This window comes from Homo sapiens, chromosome 9 (assembly GCF_000001405.40).
Source record: "Homo sapiens chromosome 9, GRCh38.p14 Primary Assembly".
Lineage (NCBI taxonomy): Eukaryota > Metazoa > Chordata > Mammalia > Primates > Hominidae > Homo > Homo sapiens.
Genome location: NC_000009.12, coordinates 123,989,989 through 124,011,755, shown reverse-complemented (window position 1 = coordinate 124,011,755; position 21,767 = coordinate 123,989,989). Strand labels below are relative to the sequence as shown.

The following is a 21,767-nucleotide window of genomic DNA, read 5'->3' as shown; positions in this document are numbered from 1 at the left end:
GAAGAGGAGGAGGAGGAGGCGGAGGAGGAGGTGGAGGAGGAGAAAAAAGAGGAGGAGCAGAGTGGGAGGAGGAGCCGCCGGCCGCGGGCCCAGCCGCGCGCAATGCTCTCCAAGCGCGCGCCTAGCCCAGCCCCGGCTCTGCAGTCCGCGCCAGCGCAAGCCTCCGCGCCTTTTCTACAGCCGCGCCTGACATCACGTCCTGCCGCCGTGCCATTGGCCGCTCGGCGCCCCAGGCCCTGGCAGCGCGTGCTCCGGGAAGGCGGGAGACCCAAGAGGGAGGGGAGAGGCAAGAGGAGCAGAGGAGAGTCGAGATGGTGGGAGCTGGTGGGCGAGGCTGGAGGGCGGGGGTGGGGGGGAGGCAGGGAGGAGGGAGAGCGCGGGGTTTGGAGTTTTTAAGATACGAACAGCTTCCTGCGATATCTTCAGAAAGGAAAATTAAACCCTCTATCCTAAGAAGGCGCAGCAAGGGGATGCTCGTCTCACTGCGGTCTCCCCTCGGCCTGGAGCCGCGGCCTCAGGCACCCGCCTGGGAGGCCCGGGAAGGCAGGCCTGTGGCAGAGTTGCAAGAGCCTTCGGCCGGCCGTTTCCCATCGAGCTCCGCCTTCGGCCCGGGCTCTGCACAGCGGGCTGCAGGCGGCCGTGCAAGCCTCCTGGGTACCCGGCAGAGCCTGAGTGGCGAGACCGGCGAGAGCTGTGACTCCCGGGGAGGGGGGCCAGCCAGCATATCCACGCTCCAAGCCCGCTAGGGCCCAATCTGCAGCCCAGCGTGTAGCTTCTCGCTCTTCCCGGTCTCTCCCCAGCCTGGAAGAGTGGGGGCGAGCATGGCTTTAGGAACTCAGAAAGGCCAGGGTTCGAATCCTAGCTCTGCCATTTACATGCACTGTAACCTTAGGCAGTGACTTATCCTCCCTTAGCCTGTTTCTGACCTTTATAATGGGCGACAAGAAGCTCTCCTCCGCATGGACGTGTTGATTGAAAGAGACTGTGGATGTAAAATGCCTGGAACATAGTAGGCACTTAGCAAATTATTTCATTACTCTCTCTTGCTCCTTTTCCATTAAAAACTTTCTCACTCCAAGACACATTCGATATCAGTGAGGTTCTTAAAAACCACAGGCCTATTCTCTGCCCACTGGGCACACCATGTCTCAGACCCCGCTGATGGCGCGAGTCCTCCTTACCCGCCTGGCTGCACCACCTCCCCAGGGGCCAACAAAGTAGCGTGCTGGGTAAATCCCAACTGCTACCCCCAGCCTCCAGGTTTCAGGCTCACCCTAGAGTCTCCTGGGGACTGGAGGGAAATACCCAGGTGTCTGGTGGGGGAGGGATTTAGGAAATAAAATGATTGTAGACAAAAACTGAATAAGCACTTCGGTTACAGAGTCCCATCTGGGTCTGCTTCGGAGGCAGGTTTGGCTCCGTCTAATAGGGACAAGGCGGGTGTCAGTCTGAAATGACTTGTTTGCCAGGACAGGTAAGGGGATAGTCAGGACCTGCGGTTTACCTCACAGGGTACAGAGTTGAGGCATGAAATCATGTTTTTCACGTGTGTAAGTAACTTTCACACACAAATATATGTGTGCACAAATATATGTATGCGTGTAATGCCCAAGCACATGAACTTGTGTTCATGTGTGCAAATACACATGTTCATCTCTGTTGGCAATAACACAGCCAGCACGAATTTTATCTCTGTTGGCAAAATCACAGCCAGCACCACTGAAGAGCTAGGGTCTTACACATGCGCATCAGGTGTAAGTGTCTAGAGCTGGGAAGAAGGATGCAACTGCAAAATGGTAAATTGCACGTTATACCTGCACTTGCGTGCTCAGGCGATTCTACTTAAATCACTGCAAGTGCTCCTACGAGGTCGTTTTGCATAATTGAAAAAACTTGAAGTTACAATCATATGTGTATATTCTGCATGTGTACAGATGCCCCAACGCGAGGGAAGGACCACTAAACCCAAAGACGCGCGTGCCCGTGTGTTCACACAGACGTGTGCTTCGGCGCCTGCACACGGCCGGCGCGCAGGCATGCGGACGCCTACACGAATACATAGGCATGTTTTATTGACGCATCTGGGGCACTTTCTTTCAAAGAAAGTAAGGAATGAAAATCCAATCTGAGAGTCACCAGGGTTCATCTGGAGGTCGCCCAAGGGGCAGAAAAAATTTGTAATGACGCTAGAGTGTTTGTCCTTGGTGCAACTCCACTCTCGGGAGGGCTGGATACAATACGTTTGGAAAGCTCGAGGGGCTGCCTTAGGATCTGGGGGCGGGGGGTGGGGTACTCAGCAACTCTTGCCGCGGGCTGCTCAAGAAACGTGGAAACACACCCTGCGACTTTCCACTCCCCCATACATATAGGCACGCGATTCCGTCGCCACCTCTCGGACCAGCAGCCCACGTCCAACGCTGGGCCGACCCCAGATACACAGGCAGTCGGGATTCCCGCCCGGTGCGCTTGTCTATTCATCCCTCTGCGTCAGGCTGGGACGCGCTCCGTCTGTAAAAGGCTCAAACGCATCTCCCGCCGCGGGGCGGGATCTAGGGGCCCAGGCCCCGGGGTCCAGAGGCGGGTAACTTTGCTAATCTCCCCCAGCGGCGGGGAACGTCGCGCAACCGCTGAGCCCTGTCCGCCGAGACTAAACAAGCAGAGGAACAGGCTGTAAACACACATCCTGACACGTGAGTGACATTTACGCGGTGCGAGAAGCTGCAGCCAAGGGAAAGGCAAGGGGTGGGGGGAGCGGGCACCGACAGGTACGGAACCTTCGCAGGCGCCGGAAACGGCGGCCCCTCGACCTCCCCCTCCCCCAGAAAGTGGCAACGAATGCCTAAGTCCCCCGAACCTGCCTTTTGTGGGAGGTGACAGGTGAACGGAATTCAGGTCTGGCCACTCTCGCCGCTGCCTACCTCCCCACCATCTGCTTCCTCGCAGACAAGCAGACCCGGCGCATAATGAGGTAGCAGCCTCCAGCCGGCCACCGTGACTAACTCAGAACAAAAGCGCTCCCTCCACGCCTCCTCCAACAAAGGGGCCACCAGCCCCGGCGCTCCCCGAAGGCTGCGGGGCTCCCGGCTGCCGGCTGCGGAGCTGCCGCGCGCAAACTTCCCGGGGCTCCCGGGGCTGCCGGCGCCACGGAGCCGGGGCCGCGGAGGGAGGAAGCGCAAGCCGCCCGGAGAAAGTGAGGCCAGACCCGGCGGGGGAGAGGGGAGGGAGCCGGGCGGCCGCGGAAGGAGGGTGATTGATCAGTGCGCGGTGCCCGGCGCTCTGTCCCGTTATTAGAGGCGGCCAAAGCAGGGCCACGCAATAACCTCAGAATCGCCAACTAATTGACGCTGCAGGCAACTACTTCATTGTGCGCGCTGGTTTTATGTCTTCATAGCCGGTGATTGACAAGGTGTAATTAGTCATCTCACTCGGTGATAAACATGGGCACCCTCCTCCCGCGGCATCAGGCCGTGTGTACCAGCAGAGGAAGCGATAGTTGACGCTGATATACCATTAAATCAAAATGAAGACGTTCAGAAGTGTGTGTTTGCTGTGACGCTGTGATGGTTTATTTCTCAAATACGGCACCAACAGATTTACTTGATTTGCAAGTTAACTACAACATTAACTGGTTTTATTTATTTTGCCTCTTCCTTCCTCTTCCTAGGCAGGGATGTTGCTCTTGGAGAATGTGAAGACAGTTTGCTTCTTGACAAGCGAGCGAACGGGCGCCCAGATTTTTGCAGCCTTTCCGAGTCTCCCCCGAGGGAGAGGCGGCAGAGAAAACGCCGGATTTGGGAGCCACCAGGGAAGGATCCGCGCAGGGGAGCCGCCCTCCTTGGCCCCAGACCCGCCTGCCTGGGGCCCCCTTTGCTCACTGTCAATGTATGGTCTGAAGCTCTGAGGATGGTGCTGGGGACTGGGGTCGGGGGAAGCCTCTTGAATAATAACTGCAAAGAAGAAAGAGGCGAGAACGTCTCCCTAACCTTGAAGCAGAAAGGACTGTGTTCTTAAAGCTGTTGGCTGCAGTCACAGGGCCAGTTGCCCGCCTCTGTTCCCTGAGTAAAGTGTAACATCTTCTGTCCTCCTGGCTTGCTTGCACCATTCAGCAAATTATACTCCTTCCTTACCAAAGTGGGAATGCTCAGGGAAGTGTGTGTGTGTGTGTGTGTGTGTGTGTGTCCCCTCTGCACTGAGGCTGCTGTTAGAGATGTTACCAATTTAAACCTTCCAGAATCCTGGAGGTTTACATTTTGTAAAGGGAGGGGACACTCCTGGACTGTCACAATCCCAATTCTGGTTAGAGTGGCAGGGACTGAACAAAGCCACCAACATGCAAAAGTCCATCTCCAGAGTAGCATGCATGCCCCCAGGAAACCCCCAGTGGGATATGCTTCCTGCACTTTCCCCTTCTCTCTAACCTCTGTCTCCTGTTTGTAAGGCAGAGGAAGGGTGATTCCTTGCCACTGCACAGGAATGCAGGGTTAGGGTTATCTCCAAGAAAGGGTGGGGTGAGGCTGAGTCACAGGGAGAGCAGAAAAGCTCTGTATCTTCAATGAGGACCCACACACACACACCTTTCCCAGGCTTGTGGGCCTCATTCAGCAAAGCAGGGAGTGTTTTATATTGATGCGAGAGGCTGTCAGTCAGCAGTAAATCAGTTCAGGCATAGCTATCTCTTTCTTTACGAAATCAGCTCATTGCCTTGGTCACACTACACAGAAAATCTGCTTATCACCGCTATCGACAATAAAAATTAGTGGAGCCTTAGTTGTTTCCGAAGAGGAACCCCGTGTCTGTGACATTAGAATAGATAAGTGGCTTGGCCTGTTGCAGGCAGAGAGAAGCCCAATTCCTCCTCCTCTTCTCCCTGCAGCGATCTGAACAATTCTGAAACCGCCTCCCTGGGCGTCAGCTGAGCAGGTTGGGGAACTAACCAGGGCTCTCTCTCTAGGGCCCTGTTAAATGCACTGAACTTAAAATGAAACACGAAGTGTGAATTTCAGGTTTGAACATGATGCATCAGGAAACGTGGAGGTTGGCAGCCCTTTTCCTCCCTCCTGCTTTTCAGTAGCAGGTATTAATATTGTATTAAATGTTATGAGAAAGTAAAGGCTGCGGAGAGGAATGTGCTCAGATGCAATTTTGTCAAGGTTTTTATCTGTGATTATGATTCCAGATGTAGAAACTCCCGGAGGAGGGAAATGAGGGGCTGCTGGCATGTGACATGTGTTTTAAGGTGTTTGGCAGTGTTTCTCAAAGTGGTGACAAAATGTTCAATTTTATTACAGGGAATTGGTAAAAGAAATATGAATACTAGGTCAGAGATTGTTCACCTCAGCAAAAGGATTTACCATTATTGATTAGGGTGCAGAAAGTATGTATCTAGGTCCTGCTTAAATCACATTGTCAACAATATAAATCTGTCAGATCAGATTTTTCTGAAAGAACAATTATAACAAAATACACTATAGCTAATTGCATCCCCTCACGGCTAATTTCCATGCAATGATGTAAATTTCCCTGGAAGCAAAACCAAAAAAGGTAAATGTTGCAAAAAGATGCCATTTTTTCCCCAACTGGTATAACTACAGTCATTTATTGACAATCATTTCTTTTTAATCTAGCCCAGAATGATATCCAGTACTAGTAGGGCCATTTTGCTAACCTGGTTGCTCTGCCAGCCTTTCAGGTTGAAGCACAAGAAAAACTAGCAACAAATTTCCTCACATAGGAAACCACATTTTGCTTAGAGGAGAATCCAAAAGATTTTGTATGGAAAAAGTGGGGACGGGGGAAGAGGAGGAAGCAGATGAACCCTTGACTGTCTGACAACTCATATTTCCATGCACTTGAGACTAAAAATTTTTCCTATCACAGCCTTCTTCATTCAAAGGCATCTCTGCCATCCTTCTCTGACAGCAGGACACCTCTAAACTCCATTTCTAAGCACAGGTTTCCCCATAAAGCTTTTATGAGCTTCCCATACGCTAACACCAATCGACTGGAGTGCCCAGCCAGCACTGACTGGAGTTGGGTTTGGTAAACATTTCTACATAACAAAAAAGGAGTTTTTAGCTAAAGATGCTGGACTTGGCTCCTCCTTGGGTTCTCAATCAGAGGACGAGGGTCTCTACCCACTTGCTGGAGCCACGCTTTACAGATCACCCCATGTCTAGCACACCCATTCAGCCCCAGCCTCTCTTTAGTCCAGGCTAAAGAATGTTGATTTGAGCTTCCCAGCCACTGGCACTATTTTACCATCACAAAGCATGCTAGGCTCCCAGCACAAAGTGCAACTTCCTAGGAAGTAAGACAATTCCTCTCCTAGAAGATGATGTAGGATGTGTTAGTTTTCCAAGGGGAACACTGAGGTTGCAGGGGAGGAAAAATGCCCAGTGTGACCACCATATCTCCCCCTACACTTTCAACAGGACCCCTCCCACACCCAAGTCCAACTTTCCACTGGTTTGATTAGCAAATCTCTCCTGCTTTTGGGAAGTTGGCATTGTCTCTTTAGGTGAGGAATGAGTCATTTCCCACACATGCTTCAGCTGAAGCCCAGTCCCTTGGCACCCCTCCCCAACATTTTTATTCTTCCATTAATTAAAACAACTAATGTCCCATTGATTATCTTTGCATGAATGAAAATCACTACAAGCCCTTGCAGGTATATGAGAAATTCTGTTTGCTTAAGTATTCACACTTTGATTTCCTATAGGCTAATTTTCTCAAGCATAAAGAAATTCAAACAAAACAAAACAAAAACAAAAACAAAATCTCCTGGCACTTTGCAATAAAATACAAATGCTAGTTGTAAAGAGCTTGTGCCGATCTCTTGCAGGAAGAAATGTTCAGATGGCCCTGTTTTAGTGCTGAGTTTTACTATCTGGTAATGGATTCTAGACAGTGAAGGCAAACATTGATAGGTCATCAGACTCAGGTTTTGAATTTCTGTTTGTGTTGAGTGAGATGAGCTCACCCAAATTTACTTTTAAGCTACCATGTCAGCCCTCGAAAGTAAAAAGGCAGGGGACAATCGACACTATTTAGAATTTCCCAGCTACTTGGCCATTTCAGCTTGCATCTCCATTTCTGGGGGCTGCCATAATTAGAGCGATCTATTTTGCATTTACTTCTCTTTGCAAGCACTACATTATTCACTCTTTCCTGTGCTTATTAAACAGTGCCACCTGCACCAAATTCAACAAAGCTCTTCCATCAGTCGGGCCCAGCGAAGGATCCCAGACCATATATTATCATTAATTGAAGCTCAGTTGAATTGTTGACGATAGAGTCAACAGCAAAAGCAACACATTTTCTAGGAGCTGTTTATAAAAATATTTTAAACAAAAAAAAATGCATTCTCCAAATCGTCATCTTTTACAAACTCATTTCATTCCTTCTGTACAGTAATTCAAGCAGCAATTAGCAAGTCTTTTAATTAATGAACTATTCCCTGTATGTCACCAAGGTGCCTGCAGCACAAATGTCCTCCTTCATAGGTACCAGCAGATGCAGTCGATAGTTTGTCCCCCAAAGCCTTAGAAGCTGACTACCTCGACAGCCCTAACACTAAAAAAAGGATGTGAAGAGCCAAAGGCAAGGCTGGAAAGCAGAGAACAATTTTCAGGAAAGTAGCCATGGAGAGTATGAATCCAGAGAAAGGGAAAGACAGGAGAAAGGGAACCAGCAGCAGAGGGGAGAGGCAGAATATGAATGTCTAAAGACATCCATGGCTAAAGAAAGGCACAGAAAGTTTCTGGCAAAGGTGGGATCATCTCTGAGCTTCAGCTACGTTATAAAGGTACCTTACATCCTAATGCTGATGATTTACACATTTTTAAGAGCCTCAAACCTCACTGTGGCTTGTTCTTTTAAAAGCTTCCTGCTTTGTTCAAAATACTGCTTATCTTTGGTATTGTCAACAGCTCTGCTCTGGGAGAGATTAATTAAGTGATAGGTCAGACACAATGAGGTGAAAGGGCATGTCCACCCAATCAGGACTGATTCATCCGTTTCTAGGTGGATCAACTTTTTTGAGGGATGCCAATTTTGGTTCAATTTCCAGGGGGTTTTATCAATAGGGATGCCTCAGCTCCTCTGGTGAGGGGCACTTAGCTGGTAAAGACTGGTCTGCAGATAGAAAAATCAAAAATCTTCACTTTGTTTTTTTAAGATGTGGAAACAAAACATAACTATCAATTGTCTGTATGCTTAAGTTTTACCGATCTGGGAGAAGGCTGATTTATTGAATCCTTTTACAAAATACAAAATAGCTAATTGGGTGGTTATAATTAAGATTGCTACGCACCACAAAAAAAAAAATAAAAAGTTCGCTTTCTCTCCTCCCCCCACTGTTTTTCATTGCCCTTTTCTTTCAAGTCCACTTTTAATTTCTAGAAGGTAATATCAGAGAAAAATAGAAAAGAGAGAGAGAATGAAAAAGAAACAGAGATTTTCAAGATGTCATCTCTTGATGGTGGAGAGACAGAGAATGAAAAAGAAACAGAGAGATTTTCAAGGTGTCATCAGCTTAATTTTTCCAGACCAATTAGAGGTTACCTTTAAATCTCCATCCTTCACCCCCTCCACACCTTTCTAAATAGATCTTTAGACTAGTGAGAAATTAGTTCATTGGGAAGGGTCATGTGGTTGGCTTACCAGGTTCCTAACCAGAAGGGTTTTAGGGACCTTAGACCCACTCCTAGAAATGGCACCCTCCCCATCTCTCTGGCAGTCTGGATCAAAATTGTGGTTGCAAAATTGTGTGTGTGTGTGTGTGAGAGAGAGAGAGAGAGAGAAAGAGAGAGAAGAAAACTCCCAGCCTGTGAATAAGGCCAGGCTCAGGTAAGGTGACTATTATTGGCAGACCCCAAACAAAACATCTGGAATATTTTTACTCTATTTTTGAACACTCTTGAAAATGAGCCTCACATTTTCCAAGGTATTTTGGGGGCAGGGAGGAAGTATGGGGGTGAACAATGGTTTGGGTTTATGCAACTGACCAGCCATTTCCCCTTCTCCAAAGAAATGTAGAAGGCTAGTTTCTTAACTATCTAGTTGTTTAAATCATCTGGGATCCATCTATATTTATAAAACTGAACAGAAATACTTAACAGCCTGATCAATAGCCATTGACCGTCGGTGCACCTCGCACCCTAACATGCACAGCTTGATCATGTATATTTGATCATTGAAAAATTCAAAGCATCTTGCAGCAGTGTATCAAGCTTCCCATAAAATAGTCTGCCTCTTTCTGTGGTCTTAAAAGAGTGTGTTTTTCTCTCTCCTGCATTTATCTATCTATCCACCTATTTATCTACACACACACACACACACACACATTTCCCTTCCTGGAGAATTTATTGCTCATATATTTGATGAAGAACAAGGTAATTAACTGCCTGCGAGGCTGTACATCTGGGCGGCACTTCATATCCATTGCAATAATAAAACACTTTTTTCACATTTTAGCAAAAGAAAGGCTAGTCCTGCCCACAGATTCAGAGGACCCCAGAGTCTCTGCCTGCAAAGTCTCCTTGTTATAAATCCTGCCTCCCTCTTAAGTGATGGCAAGCACAATTGCACCAAGGGGCACTAAGTTTATCTGTGCAAAAGCATCACTGGAAAAGCTTGTCCCTTCTCAGAGCTTCAGCATCAGCTTGTGGGGGTTTGAAACAGACACAGCTGGCTCCTCCATCCCCAGCCTGCTTGGCAGCAAACCGGGGCAAGAGTCCAAAGGACTGATCCTGTGAGGGGCCACAGGTAGAAGAGATATATTTTGGGATCCCAAGGGTTGTTGTCTTGAGCATGTGTCGCTAAGAACTAATTACTCCCAAAGGACCCGATCCTGCAGATTTTTCTGATATTCTGGGGTCAAAAAATGGATTCCAAGTTTCTCCAGAAGGTATCCCAGATCCATCCAAACTACTCCAAGATCCTGGGCAGAGGAATACAAGCTGGCACAAGCGTGCTCCAAGCCCCCAGCACAGTTCTTATAACTCCAACCTCAGAGACCACCCCTACCCCCCCTACCCCCAGCCAGCAAAACAAATTACCTGCAGAACCTCCCATCTCGGGAGTCCCCTGCTCTGTATTCCCGACCGTGCCCCGCACAAATTATTCGGGGCCCTTCCTTTTAAAAGCAGCAGCATCTGGGCTGAGGCTCCCTCCTTTAAAGGGTGGGGGGAGACTTCATATGATAATATGTGTAATATGATATGGAATGACAGAATGCATGACAGTTGCCCATAATACAGAGAAGTCAGTCAAAGGACAGAGGGGACATTTGGATAATTACCATCTATTGGCTAGTCAATCACGCGAACAGAGAGAAACTGCACAAAACCCACAATGGAGTTGGGAAACAAAAGAGACCCGAGCCAGACTCAGGATTAACCGGTCTAAAGCGATCTAAATGCTTTTGTATCTGAAGAACTGAGGCTCCCGGGTTGCCCCCCCCACACACACACCAACAATCCCAGGGAACTAATTGCGGGGATCAGAGTTAAAGCTCTCTCCCTCCTTTCCCATTTCTCTTTGTAGACTGCTCACCACGCAGAAAAAAAAAAATGATTTCTCTCTCTGTGTTCATTAAACTATTTTAAAGTTAAAGAGGTGGGGGAGGGGGATAGATGTAGCCCCTCAGTCCAGAAGCTGGGATTCCTCTGCCGTCGAAGAGGCTGGGACAGTCTCGGTTGGTCTCAATTCTTTGTTTCAGGGTAAAGTCTTCCTTGCTTGCCCCGTGGAAACAAATGCCCCTTGCACCTGGGCTGCGGCTGGGCAGCTGCCCCTTTCCTGCGGGCTACTACGGATTGCTGGTGCCCTGCTTTGGGTGAGGAGTCCCCACAGCTGGCCCCTGCACTAGAAAAACACAAGGTAGATCCCTCCAGCTGAAGACAAATTGATCTGCACAGCCAGGATTATGGGGGTGAAGGGCAGCATAGGAATGGGTCTAGCCTTGGAAATGGGAAAGTGAGCCACAGAAGGTGGTTCCAAATTGTGGGGAGAGAGAATTTCCTTTTAAACTGGGGAGTGAGAAAGAGGAAGAAAATCCTTCTAAATTGGAGGAGGGAGGGGATGTGCTTAATTGGGGAAGAGGAATGGGAAAAGACTCCTGCTTGAGAAGAAGGGTGGCAAAGAGGTGATTCCTCAAAAGAGACACTGGAAAATAATGTCTATAAAATTTTAGGGATTCGGAGAGGATAGTGACAGAGGAAGAGAATTCCTTAAAAGAGAAAAAGATCTGGACAGAAGATCTCTGTACCTGAGCGTGAGACTCCCCCACGCTCCAGACAGAGCGGCAACTGCCAGCCACTTGCCACCAGGTCCTCCCTTTGACAAGCCCAACTCGCCCAAAGCCCTCCCGGCCCGACGGGGCCCTCCCGTGCTCCCGGCTCAGTGGCAGCGGCGGTTCCCGGTCCGGGTCCGCGGGTGCCTGCCGTGGCCCTCCCCGCACCACGCGCAGCCCTCCAGGCCCCCGGGGCGCGCCGAGGCGCTTCCTTACCTTGGTGAGTCCTCCGCAGCGGGTGTGGCCGGCTCTGCGGGCGGCCCCGGGCCAGGGCCGGGGGGCGGGGGGCGGGGGTGCCGGGCTAGGGGGGAGCGGCAGGGTGAGGGCTGGGGGCGCGGGCACGGTGCCCAGCGGGGGTGAGGGGGCCGTTGGCAGCCCCAGGGCCCTCGGGCGGGCCGGGCCGAGCCGGAGGAGGTGCGCGGCGCGCGGGGCCGGGGAGGGGCGCCGGGGCCCGGGCCGGAGGGCGGAGGGCTCCCTCCTGAGGCGGGCGGGGTGCTCCAGCCTGCGGGGCCGGCCCGGAGCCGGGCTAGGCGCGCGGGAGGGAGGCCCGGCGCCCGGGGAGCCGAGGACTGGGCGCGCGGATCAGAGGGGCCGTTTTTCTTGCCTCGGCTGACAAATCAATCAGGGCCAGCCGGGCGCCGGGAGCGGCCACCCGGGCTGCGGCGCGCGGCTCCCCGCTCGCCCCGCGTTGCCAGCTGCCGGCCGCCTGGAGTGGGCGCGGGCCGCGGCGCGGGCTGGCTGCGGTCATTAGGCTGCGGGCGCGTGCGGCCGGGGGCGGGGGCGGGGGCGGCGGCGAGCGCCGGGAGGGGGCGGCGCGGCGTCCCCCGCGTCCCCCGCGTCCCCGGCCTCCCCACCCCGCCCGCCGCCGTCCCGCGCCCGCTAGCGCTCGGCGTCCCCCGCCCCCCGCTCCGTGGCTGTCACCGGCCGGTCCCCCCGGCCGTCCCCGCCCGCCTCCCCCTGTCTCTTTCCATCTCCCGGTCTCCGCGGCGTTTCTCTGCCTCCTTCCTCGCCTCTCCCGGCCTCTCTGGCTGTCCCCGGCTCTCTTCCTCACTGCCTCTCTCTTTTTCTCTTACCCCTCTCTCCTCGGCTGCTCTCACCACTTCCTCCCTCCCTCTCCGGCTTCCTTCTACCTCCCCTCACTCTCCCCCCTTTCTCGCCTTGCTCAGGGGGACTCGCTATCTCTTTCTCTGTCTCTCCTTGGAACAGCGGCCCCCAAAATGCAACTGAAGCCATTTCCCTGCTCTGAGACCTCGGACAAGTCACTCCCCGCCAGGGCTGCAGTTTCCTGTCTCTAAAAGGAGTTGATGAGCAGCTCTAGGTGGGGTGGCGATGGGGGACGCAGGAGGTGCCCCGTGCCTGTGGTCCCCTGTTGAAGTTCACGCCTCCTCAAATGCAGCGGCCACCCAGCGCTCGCTGGGTGCCATGTGTGCCCCACAAAACACCTTTCCTCAGCCTCGAGGACAAGTACCAGAGGCCAGTTCCGCGGGAAAAGTTAATGGTGGTTTCCTCCAGGGTCCCTAAAGCCCCTCCTGAAAAGTGACTGTGGTTCCCCTCCCCCTGTCCTCAGGTTTTGAGTGGGCACAACCTAAGCTGGATCTGATAGGCCCTGTCACCTGCTGGTTCCTCCCTGGTTGACACCAAGCAGAGGGGCAATGCTCTCTCGCTGTCCTTAGACCCAAGCAGGAGAAAAATCTACCCTCCCTCCTTCCCTCCCCATTCCCCATCACACCATGATTGGCTTTTAAGCTTCAGGGATGTTTCCCGGACCGAGTGTGGCTTCAGAGTCAGAGAGATGTGAGTTCAAGACCACTTGCTTAGGTAAGTCACACTGCTCCAAGTTTCAGTTTCTTCATCTGTGAAATGGGAGCAATAACCACCTCTTTTTCAGGATTGCCATTGAGATCATTCGTGGAATCCATAAAGTGCCCAGCCCACAGGTTATTTATTCTGTCCAGCTTTTATTCAAGCTTTTTGCTTAGCACTGAGGAAACAGCAATTCACGAGGCAGGCATGGTCTCTGCCTTCATGCAACTTGCATTCTAGGAGGCAGACAGACTGTGGACAGCAATTACAGAATTTCATGACAGTTATACAAGTGCCATGGAACATATAGAGTACGATAAGACCAGATATCCAGGGAAACTGACCTGGTCTGGGGCTCAGGAAGGCCTTTCCCAAAGTGTGATGACATCGAAGCTGAGACCTGAAGTCAATTGGGGCACCAGGATTGCAGTTGGTAGGAAGTGGGCAGGGGGTGCTAAAAGAGGTGGTGGAGGGAGAGCGTTCCTGGCACGAGGGAGCAAGGCCAGCGCGAAAGCCGGAGTGGCCGGTGTGGGGTGGGGAGCGGGATGAGGCTGCAGAGGTGGGCGGGGCCAGGCGTGGGCAGGCAGTGTCTTGTAGGCTGTGCTGGGAAGTCCCGGCCTCAGCGCACAGAAACTGCTCTCATGAACCCTCAACCACATGAGTCCCGATTTCCCCTTTTCTGAGCTGGAAGGAAGAAGCCAGGCCAGCATGCAGACTCATTCTTTGCCTTTGGTTATTCCTGGGGGCTGCCATCTCTTGTCCTCTCCTTTGCTATGTCCCAGCACTGTGCACCCAAAGATGTCATTGCCTACTATGACAGCCATGCCCCCACCCGAGGGCCTCCCTGGCAGCACACACTCAGGCTTGGTTTCTGTTTGTGCCCTTAAAGTCAGGCCCACAGGAGGCATCGTCCTTGGCCACTGATCCCCTGTTGTGTGCCAGGCCCTGTGCTGGGCATGGCCCCTGTCCTCACAAAGCACTCCTTTTTCTGGGAAGACACTTTTGAGCACACAGGGATGCAATGACCATGATGAAGGAGTCTCATGGGGGACCTGAGGCATGGGGCTGGAAGCTCTTTGAGGGCAGGTCCATCGTGTGTTTTCTCACCTCGCATCATCATCAGGGTGTGGCACTGTGCCTGGCACCAAGGCAGACACTCAGAAACACGTATTTGGAGGATGAAAAAGAAAAGTGGAGTTTAAACATAGAAGGATGAAGGCTCAGTAGGAGCTCAGAGAGCCACAAGAAAGGGGGAGGAGACCTGCCTCTGAAGCTCTGTAAGGAGGAGGCAAAGGGCTCTGTAGTGGGAGGGAGCTGATGCTTCTGGGGCTCCTCCTCCTGGGGCCAGGCAGGTGCTGGGCACTTTTGTGCAGTTCCCTGGGCCAACCTCCACAGCGCCCCGCCTCGAGGGCACCATTGGCCCCACTTTTCTGTTAAAGCGCTAGGGTCCAGAGGGGTTGCGTCACAGGCTTGAGGTCACACAGCCAGTAAGAGCCTGCGCCCGGATTTGAACCCTGGTCCGCCTGCTCCTCTTTACTAAAAGGAGGAAGCAAAAGAGGAGGAGAAGGCAGAGGAAGGCGACGACTGAGAACAAAAGAAGAGCAGTGGCAAAGGAGTGAGCTCCATGAGTAATTTTTCAACTTAAAAACAATTCCCATTTCCCAGCCCTGCGGAGGCAGGCGCAGCGGATCTGAGGCGAGGCCGGCCCTCTGACTCGCAGGAGCCTGCCAAGGGGCCCCGGCAAGCTGCTTCAAAGTCGGCCTCTTCAGCACAGGCGCTTTTAAACTTCACACGGGAAACTTTCCAGGGCTGACTTTTTGCACTTTGTTTCCAAATCAAGAGATGGGGAAGTCCCTCTCAGCCCAGCGGGGAGGCGATCACACTGCGAGACTTGCCCTAGGGTTTTTGGCTTGGCACTGAGCTCCTCAATAGGGCAAATGGGCTGATCCCCAGATGTAGGGGTGTGGGGCCCTGTCCCCTGCCCGAAATGGGTTCCCAGGAAGAATTCAGGGTGTGGGCTTGGCAGCCAGTGCCCCCCTACCCCCCCTCCGTCCCCAGGGTCCCCAGGGGGGATAAGGCCTCTCTTCCTGTATCCTCCCAAGTCTGTTTCTACCTGGGTTCCAGGTGGCTTTTGTGGACAAGATGCGACCACCTCATGAGGATCAAGATGTACTCCTTGCTCTTCTCTGCACAGCAGTCTCAAAACTAGGCTACACCGTCTGTCTCCTCTGGTCACCATTTTGAGAGGCAGCAAGGGTCTTCCTAACCCTCAGCTCCCTCTGATTTTTGGAATTCAGATTTGGATTTTGGATGTACATCAAGAGGCTGGCTCCACGCATTTTAATTAAGTTGTCTTTTTTCATTTATTACTAATACACTCCTCTTAACTATGATTTATTGGTTAAACAAAGCACCATAAGCCGTCACTTATTCATCTTAATTTCAACAAAATTAAAGTAGTCGCTGTTAGATTGCACCTAATTGCACTTGCAATGAAAAGAACGGAGATGTTAATCAAAATAAATTGAAGATAAACAATAAAATCATTACATCTTTGCGGTGGTAAGTGTAACTAATCAGTTTTGACTCGAAGTGACCGAGCAGGAATAATGAATGTGTCACCGAAGGCACGCTCATTAAGGGAGGCTGCCGGGACCTGGTCCTCAGGGCAGCAAACAGCCACCCTGCCCATGTGGCTCTGAGGGTTCCTGCCTCCTGGGCTGGGCAGAGGGACCCCAAGGAGTAAAGTGATTCAGGAGGAGGCTCAGAGAATGGAAGCGAGTCATGGATGGGGGTCTCTGAGGCTGCCCTGCTACAAAGGGGTCCTCTCACTCTGATGGGAAAGAGGTCCCAGGCTCGTTACTGGACAGCCCAGGAAACCAAGGATGGGGTGAAGGCAGCTGGAAGACAGACAGACAGCCCGATATCCAGGGAATATAAACAGGCAGATGCACTGCAGGGTCACAGTAGAGAAGAGTCAAGCATTAAGAGACAAGGAGAGCTGGGTGCGGTGGCTCACGCCTGTAATCCCAGCACTTAGGGAGGCTGAGGCTGGTAGATAACCTGAGGTCAGGAGTTCAAGACCAGCCTGGCTAACATGGTGAAACGCTGTCTTTATTAAAAATACAAAAGAATTAGGCAGGCATGGTGGCGCACACCTGTAGTCCCAGCTACTCAGGAGGCTGAGGCAGGAGAATTGCTTGAACCTAGGAGACAGAGGTTGCAATGAGCCGAGATTGGTACCACTGCACTCTAGCCTGGGCAACAAAGTGAGACTCCATCTCAAAAAAAAAAAAAGAGAGAGAGAAGGAGAGTTGGGCACAGTGGCTCATGCCTATAATCCCAGCACTTTGGGAGGCCAAGGCAGGTGGATCACTTGAGGTTAGGAGTTTGAGAACAGCCTGGCCAACATGGCTAAACCCTGTGTCTACTAAAAATACAAAATTAGCTGGGCATGGTGGTGCACACCTGTAATCCCAGCTACTCGGGAGGCTGAGGCAGGAGAATTGCTTGAACCTGGGAGTCAGAGGTTGCAGTGAGCCAAGATTGTGCCATTGCACTCCAGCCTGGGTGACAGAGCGAGACTCTGTCTCAAAATAGAAAGAAAGGAAAGAAAGAAAAGAAAAAGAAAGAAAGAAAGAAAAGGAAAAGAAAAGAAAAGAAAGGAGAAAGAGACAGGCAGAAGAGCAGTGAGGGAAAGGAGTCTGGCCAAGGCCAGAGATGGACAATCAGACAGGGACAGACAGAGAAAGGAGCTGCAGAGGGAGGGAAAGCGAGGCAGCTCTGACAGTGATGGAGGAGGGACGGGGAACCAGCTGAGTGAGGAGAGGGAGGCAGAAGAGAGAACCAGGCCGATCTGCAGAGGTGGAGGCTGTGGGTCATCATTCAATCATCGCTCCTGTGAGGACTATACATGCACATTTTCATTTGGAGCCAGTTAAAGCTCGGGAGCTTTCAGGTTAGGATTCTGGGGACACAGCAGTCCTCAGCAGTCTGGGCAGGTAAACGACTGTCAGGATGGAATCCCTGGACTGGGATCAGGAACACAGGGGGAGTGATCATGAGTACTGAGGCAGAGGGCCACCTGGAGGACTCCTGGGCTCATCCTCCCACCACAGGGCTTTCATAGCCCTTAAAGGGTCCAGATGGGGCTCCTTCCTCATGTCACAGGCCTCTGTGCCAGCCTTTGGGTTGCTGGCCTGGACACCAGATGCTGTGCAGAGTTGCTCTGGCTGAGGCTGCCTTAGCAACACCCTCTTTCCAGTCTGGGAAGATCCAGAATGTGGGCAACTTCGGGAAATGGGAAAATCAGAAGATACATCCTGGTAGGACTGGGGGCAGAGACCAGGAGAGACAATCTGAAAGATAAGTATTTTTTGAATACCTACCAGGTGCTTAGCCCTGGGCTGGACCTGGGAAATACAAAGATGACCCTCTAGTCCCAGCTACTGGGGAGGCTGAGGCGAGAGGATCACTCAAGCCCAGGAGTTTGAGGTTACAGTGAGTTGTGATCACACCACTGCGCTCCACTCGAGCCTAGGTGACAGAGCAAGAGACTCTGTCAAAAAAATAAAAAACAAATACACAGATAAATCAGATATGACCTTTCTCTACCTCAGTTTCCCCATCTTTAAAAGTAGGGTTAATAACAGAACCTACTTCACATATTTATGATGAGGATTAAATGAGTTAATGCTTGTCAAGAGCTTAAATGGTGGTTGACCCTTGGAAAGGGCTTTATGTGTTTGTTAAAAATAAAAATAAAGTAAGTCTCTGCCCTTATGAAGTGCAGAGTTCAGTCAAGGAGACAGACTCGTTAGCAGTCAAGTTCTGTCGAAGGGGTGAAGGATGCTCTGGGGCCCAAAGTGGAGCGAAAGCCTCCAGCGAAGCAGGAGGAGTAAAAACTAGTCAGATCAGGGCTCGGGGAGGGGAAAAGAGTGGTCCAGGCAAAGGGGACCATGCAAAGGCACATAGGCAGGAAAAGACAGGATATGCCCGGGGCTGTCAAGCAACTTGGAGTTGAGGCTGAAGACCAGGGACTTAGATCTTGATAAGCCTTGGCAGGGACGATGGAAGAGCATTTGGAGGGACATGCTGGGGTTTTTTTCCTGGCTGCTCTGCATGCCTTTACTATATTTAGGGTGGGACTTTGGGGATTGCGTCCTACTCCTTTCCTCCCCTTCTTTCCTCCCAGTCCAGTGGTTCTGGTAGAAGCAGTTCCACCAGGACTCCAGGGGAAGCGGCATGTGACCCAAACCTAAGCCAATCCGTGCATTCCACTGCTGTGGCCACAGTGATTGGCTGAGGGACTGGCAATCCGGCCCAATGGCAGCCCATCCTGGGCTTTGGCTTGAGGACCTGGGAGAGGTCTTTGATCCCTTCTGCTGGTCTCTAATCTGACAGGATGTAGGGGCTGGGGCCGCTGTCACGACCTCAAAACCATGGGGCTTCTGAGACCGAAGCCAACACAGCAGAAGGCAGCAGCACGGTGGAGCGAAATGAGTTCCAGTGACGTCGTTTGAGCCCCAAATCCAGCCGAGATGAAGCCAGCCCTAGTCCCTGGCCTTTTTGAGTTTATGATCCAATAAATTCCTTTTTGTTTAAGCCAGTTTAGGTTGGGTTTTCTGTTACTTGGAACAGAAAGCGTTCTAGCTGATACAGGTTTCAAACAGGAATGCAACGCCGTCATGTGTTTTAGTAATGTCACTCCGGCAGCCGCGGTGCAGCAGAGGGACTGGAGGGAGTGAGGTTGGAGGCAGCCACGCCAGTGGGGAGGCCGACGTGGTCATCCCAAAGAAGGCTCGTGACCAAGAGGAAGCAGAACTAGCAGCTCTGGTCTCCGCCGCTGGATTCGCTTCCTGAGGATGCCGTAACAAATCGCCATGAATTGGGTGGCTGAAAACAAGAGAAATTTATTTTCTCATGGTTCTGGAGGCCAGGAGTCCAAAATCACGGTGTCAGTAGAGACTTCCTTCTGAAGGCTGTGAAGGATAATTCTTTTTTTTTTTTTTTTCTTTCTGAGACAGAGCCTTACTCTTATTGCCCAGGCTGAAGTGCTGAAGTGCAGTGGTGTGATCTCGGCTCACTGCAACCTCCACCTCCCGGGTTCACGTGATTCTCCTGCCTCAGCCTCCTGAGTAGCTGGGATTATAGGCACCCACCACCACACCCGGATAATTTTTATTTTTATTTTTGTACTTTGAGTAGAGATGTAGTTTTACCATGTTGCCAAGGCTGGTCTCGAACTCCTGAGCTCAGATGATCCTCCCTCCTTGGCCTCCCAAAGTGCTGGGATTACAGGCATGAGCCACCACACCTGGCCTTTTAAGAGAGAATTCTCAACAAAGAATTCTTCCTCCAGCTTCTGGTGGCTCCATGTGTTCACTGGCTTGTAGCTGCAGCCCTCCAATTTCTGCTTCCATCTTCATGTGGCTTTCTTCTCCTCTGTGTCTGTGTCTTCTCCTTGTCTGTCTCTTATAAGACCACTTGTTATTGGATTTTGGGCCTGCCTGTGTAATCTAGGAGGATCTCATCTCAAGATCCTTAATTACTTCTGCAAAGACTCTTTTTTCCAAATGAAGTTACATTCACAGATTCCAGAACACAGACATATCTTTTTGGGGGTCACCATTCAACCCACCACAACTAGCAAGGAAAATGACCACCAGACCAAAAGACTAGAGTGAATATTATGAAAGGGAACAGGAGGCCAGGGGAGGTGAGGCAATGCTCAGAGGGCACTGGGAGGCACAGAAATGGAAACCTCTGGGCTGGGAGGAGTCCATTTTAGGACATCAAAAGAACTTGTGCACAGGATTTCCTAGGGAACCTAGGAGAACCAGAGAGAGCAAGAGCCTAAGGAATGGACAAGGGTGCTTTGCATTTTCAAAATCTGGAAGCCAAGATATTCTGCAAATACATGGGGTTGTGAGCTTAACATCACTCTGGGCAAGGTTCCAGAAAACTCAGGGCTTGGAGAGCACCTAGGAAGGAAAGTAATTCCCAGGACCCCACACTGATTCCTTAAGAACAAGTCATGCCAGATCAGCCTCATTTCTTTCTTTGTTAGGTTCACTGGATGGGTAGACTTAGGGATGGTGTGATGAGTGATCAGAATGAGGCCAGCTTGTGGTGGTCTTCTTGTAAACAGGACAGAGAAAACGTGTGATGGATTCAAAGACGATTAGGAAATTGACTGCCCATAAGGGAAGGGAATTAACCGATAGGTCTCTGTCTCCTGTAGTGAGGTGCCTGAGGTCCTCTGCTAGGTCCTGTTCTGCCCATCCAAGTTACATGAGACAATGGTAAACAGTGGGAGGCCCACTTGTCCAATTGGCAGATGGTTTGAGGGAGGAAGAAGCACACATTATGTTGGGAAATAGAGCTCCTTTTTCTTTGAGCGCCTACTTTGCCAGGCACCGAGTTTGGCTCAGGCAGAATAATGGTGAATAAGACAGAGAGAGAGAGAGGTATAGCTACTCTCATGGAACTTACTGTTCTGTAGGGGACTCAGGCAAGCACATTTAGTGCGATAAGCATCCCAAATGACTGTGGCAGGATGGGTTTCCAAGATGAGAGGAGACATGGAAAAATAGAAACACCTGTCCCTGGTTCTAAAAAACCAGGGAAGCACACTGAAATTACTGCTTCTTATTGACGAGCAGACATGTTACTTAATTTTCTTAGGTAGATGATGTAAGCAAACTTCATTTCTCTGCAGGAAGAGCCAAGAGCAAAATTATTTCTCCTCTTCCAACAATTCCATATGATGCTTCCAGGTCTGGCAAAAGCATTCCCTCTGTTTAGAACCCACCGAGTATTTGCTTTCCAAGAGAATTCTAATGTCGCAGTTCATTTAATCAGCAAACACTCCTATCAGAAAGAGATCATTATGTCTCTCCTACAGGTGAGAAAACAGGCCCACGGACCTACCCAGATCACCAGCCAGAGAATGGCAGAGCTGGGATTAGGCCCACCCCTTCCCAGCGTTGAAGTTCACACTCCATTCACTGCTGGCCTCCAAGAACCCCCTCCGTTCCCTAATTACTGTGATTCTTTCCCGTTTGAGAGTCTAGCCCCTGGTGGAAGAAACTTTGTCTTCAAGAAGGAAGATCTGGCTCTTTGAACAGCCTTGATTCCAGATGGCTGAAGAGTCTCAAAAATAATCAGCATCAGTTTTTCCCCCCAAGTCTGTACTTTTTTCCTTCTCACTAAGGTAATGCATGTCTATTTTTAACAATTCAAACATTATTTGAATGTTGTTAAAATGAGAGTCACAGGTATTTACCTCCCCCAAAATAGCAGCTGTTGACAATATGAGACATATTCTTCCAGTCTTCTCCCATGCAAATATTAATAACACACATAAAAATCATAATAATTGTTAGAATTACTAAATCAAATATGCTATACACCTTTCTAAAAATTTAACACTGGTCAGGCACAGTGGCTCACACCTGTAATCCCAACACTTTGGGAGGCCAAGGAGGGTGGATCGCTTGAACCCAGGAGTTTGAGACCAGCCTGGCCAATATGGTGAAACCCTGCCTCTACAAAAAATGAGGAGGACTTGTTGGTGCATGCCTGTAGTCCTAGCTACTCTGGAGTCTCAGGTAGGGGGATTGCTTGAGCCTGGAAAGTCAAGGCTGCCATGAGCTGTGATTACACCACTGCA

The 21,767-nt window shown here is 50.9% G+C and overlaps 2 long non-coding RNA genes across 5 annotated transcripts, besides 10 other annotated features; both read left to right on the top strand.

Moving 5' to 3' along the window:
- Positions 15–64: a silencer, noted in NCBI's record as "silent region_20255". NCBI's record gives its function as "represses an Ori minimal core promoter by ATAC-STARR-seq in GM12878 lymphoblastoid cells {active_cell/tissue: GM12878}" and the evidence as "EXISTENCE:reporter gene assay evidence [ECO:0000049][PMID:35858748]".
- Positions 2,360–5,479, top strand: LHX2-AS1 (LHX2 antisense RNA 1). Its single transcript, NR_135129.1, has 2 exons — positions 2,360–2,690; positions 3,665–5,479. It is a non-coding gene; the product is annotated as an LHX2 antisense RNA 1 (long non-coding RNA).
- Positions 2,931–3,641: an enhancer, noted in NCBI's record as "H3K4me1 hESC enhancer chr9:126770394-126771104 (GRCh37/hg19 assembly coordinates)". NCBI's record gives its function as "activates a minimal SCP1, AML or CMV promoter by ChIP-STARR-seq in naive H9 embryonic stem cells {active_cell/tissue: H9 hESC(naive)}" and the evidence as "EXISTENCE:reporter gene assay evidence [ECO:0000049][PMID:30033119]".
- Positions 3,642–4,353: an enhancer, noted in NCBI's record as "H3K4me1 hESC enhancer chr9:126769682-126770393 (GRCh37/hg19 assembly coordinates)". NCBI's record gives its function as "activates a minimal SCP1, AML or CMV promoter by ChIP-STARR-seq in naive H9 embryonic stem cells {active_cell/tissue: H9 hESC(naive)}" and the evidence as "EXISTENCE:reporter gene assay evidence [ECO:0000049][PMID:30033119]".
- Positions 6,173–6,930: an enhancer, noted in NCBI's record as "OCT4-NANOG-H3K27ac hESC enhancer chr9:126767105-126767862 (GRCh37/hg19 assembly coordinates)". NCBI's record gives its function as "activates a minimal SCP1, AML or CMV promoter by ChIP-STARR-seq in naive H9 embryonic stem cells {active_cell/tissue: H9 hESC(naive)}" and the evidence as "EXISTENCE:reporter gene assay evidence [ECO:0000049][PMID:30033119]".
- Positions 10,300–10,800: an enhancer, noted in NCBI's record as "H3K4me1 hESC enhancer chr9:126763235-126763735 (GRCh37/hg19 assembly coordinates)". NCBI's record gives its function as "activates a minimal SCP1, AML or CMV promoter by ChIP-STARR-seq in primed H9 embryonic stem cells {active_cell/tissue: H9 hESC(primed)}" and the evidence as "EXISTENCE:reporter gene assay evidence [ECO:0000049][PMID:30033119]".
- Positions 11,461–11,530: a silencer, noted in NCBI's record as "silent region_20254". NCBI's record gives its function as "represses an Ori minimal core promoter by ATAC-STARR-seq in GM12878 lymphoblastoid cells {active_cell/tissue: GM12878}" and the evidence as "EXISTENCE:reporter gene assay evidence [ECO:0000049][PMID:35858748]".
- Positions 11,721–11,880: a silencer, noted in NCBI's record as "silent region_20253". NCBI's record gives its function as "represses an Ori minimal core promoter by ATAC-STARR-seq in GM12878 lymphoblastoid cells {active_cell/tissue: GM12878}" and the evidence as "EXISTENCE:reporter gene assay evidence [ECO:0000049][PMID:35858748]".
- LOC105376267 (uncharacterized) lies at positions 12,369–15,648 on the top strand. Of its 4 annotated transcripts, XR_930333.4 has the most exons (3): positions 12,369–12,608; positions 13,037–13,108; positions 14,637–15,648. It is a non-coding gene; the product is annotated as an uncharacterized LOC105376267 (long non-coding RNA). The 4 variants fall into 4 exon arrangements; XR_007061762.1 differs by having other exon boundaries at positions 12,369–13,108; positions 15,218–15,648; XR_007061761.1 differs by having other exon boundaries at positions 12,369–14,708; positions 15,218–15,648.
- Positions 12,924–13,678: an enhancer, noted in NCBI's record as "H3K4me1 hESC enhancer chr9:126760357-126761111 (GRCh37/hg19 assembly coordinates)". NCBI's record gives its function as "activates a minimal SCP1, AML or CMV promoter by ChIP-STARR-seq in naive H9 embryonic stem cells {active_cell/tissue: H9 hESC(naive)}" and the evidence as "EXISTENCE:reporter gene assay evidence [ECO:0000049][PMID:30033119]".
- Positions 13,758–13,867: an enhancer, noted in NCBI's record as "active region_28956". NCBI's record gives its function as "activates an Ori minimal core promoter by ATAC-STARR-seq in GM12878 lymphoblastoid cells {active_cell/tissue: GM12878}" and the evidence as "EXISTENCE:reporter gene assay evidence [ECO:0000049][PMID:35858748]".
- Positions 18,124–18,624: an enhancer, noted in NCBI's record as "H3K4me1 hESC enhancer chr9:126755411-126755911 (GRCh37/hg19 assembly coordinates)". NCBI's record gives its function as "activates a minimal SCP1, AML or CMV promoter by ChIP-STARR-seq in primed H9 embryonic stem cells {active_cell/tissue: H9 hESC(primed)}" and the evidence as "EXISTENCE:reporter gene assay evidence [ECO:0000049][PMID:30033119]".